At 40.5% G+C, this 5488-nt stretch overlaps 1 annotated feature.

Annotated features, from left to right (window-relative positions):
- Positions 2923-3433: an enhancer, noted in NCBI's record as "NANOG hESC enhancer chr9:83279636-83280146 (GRCh37/hg19 assembly coordinates)". NCBI's record gives its function as "activates a minimal SCP1, AML or CMV promoter by ChIP-STARR-seq in naive H9 embryonic stem cells {active_cell/tissue: H9 hESC(naive)}" and the evidence as "EXISTENCE:reporter gene assay evidence [ECO:0000049][PMID:30033119]".

Below are 5488 nucleotides of genomic sequence, written 5' to 3'. Positions count from 1 at the left end.
GTGAGAACATGCAGTGTTTGGTTTTCTGTTCCTATGTTAGTTTTCTGAGAATGATGGTTTCCAGCTTCATCCATGTCCCTGCAAAAGACATGAACTCATCCTTTTTTATGGCTGCATAGTATTCCATGGCCTATATGTGCCACATTTTCTTTATCCAGTCTATCACATGTACACAGAGAGGGGAACATCACACACCAGATCCTGTCAGAGGGTGGGGGACTGGGGGAGAGATAGCATTAGGAGAAATACCTAATGTAGGTGATGGGTTGATGGGTGCAGCAAACCACCATGGCACATGTATACCTATGTAACAAACCTGCACGTTCTGTACATGTATCCCAGAACTTAAAGTATAATAAAAAATAAATAAGAAATGAAAGTCATCCAAATTGGAAAAGGGGAAGTCAGATTGCCTTTTTACTGATAACATAATCTTATATTTATAAAAACCTAGAGACTCTACACCAAAAATACTCTAGATTTGCTAAATGAATCTGGTAAAGTTTCAGGATACAAAATCAAGGTACAAAAATTAGTAGTGTTTTTATATACAAATAATGATATAGCCATGAAAGAAATCAAGAAGGCAATCCATTTACAATTGCTACCAAAAATGAAATACCTAGGAAATTTAACCAAGGAGGTGAAAAGCCTCTGCAAAACTCACGCACACACACACACCATACAGAGAAATGAAAGAAACAGAAAAGGAGACAAAAAATGGAGACATCCCATGCACATAGATCTGAATAATATTGTTAAAATGATGATACTACCCAAAGCAATGTACAGATTCAATGACATTCCTATTAAAATGCCAACATCATTCCTCGCAGAATTAGAAAAAACAATCTTAAAATTCATATGGAATTTAAAAGACTCCAAATAGTCAAAACAATCCTAAGCAAAAAGAACAAAGTTATAGGTATCACATTTCCTGACTTCAACATATATTACAAGGCTATAGTAAGCAAAATAACATAGTATTGATATCAACAAAGAAAGCCCAACAAAACTGAATGGAGAGCCCTGAAATAAAGCCACATATTTACAGTCAACTGATCTTTCACAAAGCTGAAAAGAACTTACATTAAGGAAAGGATACTCTGATATGGTTTGGCTGTGTTTCCACCCAAATCCCATCTTGAATTCTAGTTCCCATAGTACCCACATGTTGCGATAGGGATGGGACCTGGTGGGAGGTAATTTAATCATAAGGTGGTTACTCTCATGCTGTTTTCATGATAGTGAGTTATCATTAAATCTGGTGGTTTTATAAGGGGCTTTTCCCCCTTTGCTCAGCACTTCTGTCTCCTGCTGCCATGTGAAGGACATGTTTGCTTCACCTTCCACCATGCTTGTAAGTTTCCTGAGCACCCCCCACCACCCCCGGCCAATCCATGCGGAACTGTGAGTCAATGAAGCTTCTTTCCTTTATAAATTACCCAGTTTCAGGCAGTTCTGTATAGCAGTGTGAGAACAGACTAATATACCCTCTTTAATAAACGATGCTAGGAAAATGGGATATCCACACACAGAAGAATAAAACTGGACCCCTGTCTCTCGCCATCTACAAAAATCAACTCCAAGTGGATTAAAGACTTAAATGTATACCAAAAACTACAAAATTACTAGAAAAAAGCCAAGGGAAATCTCCTAGTCATTGGCCTAGGCAAATAATTTTTGACTAAGACCTGAAACGCACAGGCAACAGAAAATAAAAGTTGGCAAATAGTACTTAATTAAACTAAAAAGCTTCTGTACAGCAAAAGAAATAATAAACAGAATGAAGGAGACAACCTACTGAATGGGAGAAAATATCTGCAAACTATTTTCCAACAGGATGCTAACATCCAGAATGCACCAGAAACTCAAATAACTCATCAGGAAAAAAAACAAAATTATCCCATTATCAAGTGGACAAAAGGCATGAATAGGCATTTCTCAAGAGAAGAAATACAAATGACCAACAGGTATACAAAAAAATGCCAACAGCACCAAACATCTGAAAAAATGCAAATAAAACTACAGTGAGGTATTATATTACCTCAGTTAAAATGACTATTATTAAAAACGCAAAAAAAAAAAATGATAGATGTTGGCAAGGATGCAGAGAAAAGGAACTCTTACACGCTCTTGGTCAGAATGTAAACTAGTACACCAACTCTAGTAAACAGTATGGAGGCCTCTCAAAAACTAAAAATAGAACTACTGTTTTGTCCACCAATCCCATTACTTTTCAAAGGAAAAGAAATCAATATATCAAAGGGATACTTGCATTTATGTGTTTGCTGTAGCACTATTTATAGTAGCAAAGATATGGAATCAACCTAAGTGTCCATCAATGGATGAATGGATAAAGAAAATGTGGTATATACACACAATGACACACTACCCACCCATATAAAAGATTACAATCATGTCATTTGAAGCAACATGAATGGATCTGGAGGCTATTATCTTAAGTGAAATAAGCCAGGCACACACACACACACACAAAAATATTGCATGTTCTCACTTATACATGAAAGCTAAAACAGTTCATCTCATGGAGGCAGAAAGTAGAAAGATAACAGAGACTGCTAGGGGTGAGTGACACAGGGAGGGAAGGATGAAGAGAAATGGGTTAAAGTGTACAAACATACAGTTAGATAAAAAAAAATAAATTCAGCATTTGATAGCAGAGTAGGGTGACTATAGTTACTAAAAATGTATTTGGTTGGTGAATACCTTAATAACCTGACTTGTTCACCATGCATTTAATACATGTAACAAAATTTCATATGTGCCCCATAAATTTGTACAAATTTAAAAAAAAGTTTGAGAAACAGTAAAATGTATGGTTTACCACTGCACATATAAGTGTCAGGGTTCTAGCAGGAAACAGAATTCACCCCAGATGCTTCAAATGAGTAGATTTCAGAAATCTACTTACAGATATATTTTAGGGTTAATTGAACAATCAAGTTATAATTAACTATCCAAAGACTAACAATAGTAAAAAGAGTTTCTTCCCACTAGGTCTTTCATGAAGGAGATTGAATTAAGACGATGAGGAGTTTACCTAGATTTTAGATTTATTGTAGGTGTGGTTAACCTCAGTGCAACACAGGATTCCAATTCCTGTAGAGACACCTAGTGTTTACATTGGGGTTGATTCACCAGCACAGTAAGAGTCTGATTGTCCTGTTAAGGTCATCTCTTTGTACTCTGTCTCAGAGAAAGTCTTGTCACATGCTTTTGTTACTCATTTTGCCCTTCCCCAGCAATATTCTGCTTTTACTTGTTAAATACGTTAATTTGGTGATGGGAGTTATTTGGAGTGGTGGGGGCTGGAAGGATTTGCAATCTTTGTCGTTTTGAGCAAGGCTCAGTCTTAGTGTGTAGCCTTCTTGGTTCTAGCACCTATGCCCTGAATTTGTTTATGGACTTCATTAATCATCTTAGCCTTATCCTAGTGGCAGGGTTCTTCTATTGCCTACTCTGGCTGCAGTAAGTTTTGACTAGTGTCCCAACTGCAGCAATGCCTGTTCTCCTTTTGTCACATATTAAGGCTTTTTTTTTTTTCCACTGCAGAAGTTTGAAAGAAGGATGTGGTCAGCGTTTCTTGTCCTTTCCTTGCACATGCTCCTCCCTTTTCCTGGCCTGCACCACAAGTACTTTTTAGTTCTCTTTCCAATCTGTGCCATGAGTACTCAGTAGATTTTGTGAAGGAAGAGCCTACAAGATGATGCAGACTCTACCAATTTCTTTACCTCCCAGAGCTTTTATGCTAACTCACAGCCTGCATTTAACTTTTATCAATAAAATGAAACAGAAGGGTGGGTGGAGCCATGATGGCTGAATAGGAACAGCTCCAGTCTACAGCTCCCAGTGTGAGCGATGCAGAAGACAGGTGATTTCTGCATTTCCAACTGAGGTACTAGGTTCATCTCACTGGGGAGTGCTGGACAGTGGGTGCAGGACAGTGGGTGCAGTGCACTGTGCATGAGCCGAAGCAGGGCGAGGCATCGCCTTACCTGGGAAGCGCAAGGGGTAAGGGAATTCCCTTTCCTAGTCAAAGAAAGGGGTGACAGACGGCACACGGAAAATAGGGTCACTGCCACCCTAATACTGCGCTTTTCCAATGGGTTTAACAAATGGCACGCCAGGAGATTATATCCCACACCTGGCTCAAAGGGTCCTATGCCCACAGAGCCTCACTCATACCTAGCACAGCAGTCTGAGATCAAACTGCAAGGCAGCAGCAAGGCTGGAGGAGGGGCACCCGCCATTGCAGAGGCTTGAGTAGGTAAACAAAGTGGCTAGGAAGCTCGAAATGGGTGGAGCCCACCACAGCTCAAGGAGGCCTGCCTGACTTTGTAGGCTCCACCTCTGGGTGTAGGGCACAGACAAACAAAAGGCAGCAGTGACCTCTGCAGACTTAAATGTCCCTGTCTGACAGCTTTGAAGAGAGTAGTGGGTATCCCAGCATGCAGCTGGAGATCTAAGAATGCACAGACTGCCTCCTCAAGTGGGTCCCTGACCCCCGAGTAGCCTAACTGAAAGGCACCCCCTCCCCAAGTAGGGGCAGACTGACACCTCACACGGCCGGGTACTCCTCTGAGACATAACTTCCAGAGGAACGATCAGGCAGCAGCATTTGCGGTTCACCAATATCCGCTGTTCTGCAGCCACCTCTGCTGATACTCAGGCAAACAGGGTCTGGAGTGGACCTCCAGCAAACTCCAACAGACCTGCAGCTGAGGGTCCTGTCTGTTAGAAGGAAAACTAACAAACACAAAAGACATCCACACCAAAAACCCATCTGTACGTCACCATCATCAAAGACCAAAGGTAGATAAAACCACAAAGATGGGGAAAAAACAGAGCAGAAAAACTGGACACTCTAAAAATCAGAGTGCCTCTCCTCCTCCAAAGGAATGCAGCTCCTCACCAGCAACGGAACAAAGCTGGATGGAGAATGACTGACGATTTAAGAGAGGAAGGCTTCAGACAATCAAACTACACTGAGCTAAAAGAGGAAGTTTGAACCAATGGCGAAGAAGTTAAAAACCTTGAAAAAAAATAAGATGAATGGTTAACTAGAATAATCAAAGCAGACAAGCCCTTAAAGGACCTGATGGAGCAGAAAACCACGGCATAAGAGCTATGTGATGAATGCACAAGCCTCAGTAGCCGATTCAATCAACTGCAAGAAAGGGTATCAGTGATGGAAGACGAAATGAATGAAATGAAGTGAGAAGAGAAGTGTAGAGAAAAAAGACTAAAAAGAAATGAACAAAGCCTCCAAGAAATATGGGACTATGTGAAAAGACCAAATCTACATCTCATTGGTGTACCTGAAAGTGACGGGGAGAATGGAACCAAGTTGGAAAACACTCTGCAGGATATTATCCAGGAGAACTTCCACAATCTAGCAAGGCAGGCCAACATTCAGATTCAGGAAATACAGAGAACGCCACAAAGATACTCCTTGAGAAGAGCA

The sequence above is a fragment of the Homo sapiens genome, chromosome 9, assembly GCF_000001405.40.
Source record: "Homo sapiens chromosome 9, GRCh38.p14 Primary Assembly".
Taxonomy (NCBI): domain Eukaryota; kingdom Metazoa; phylum Chordata; class Mammalia; order Primates; family Hominidae; genus Homo; species Homo sapiens.
Note: the sequence above shows the minus strand (reverse complement) of the source record. Positions and strands in the feature narration are given on the sequence as shown.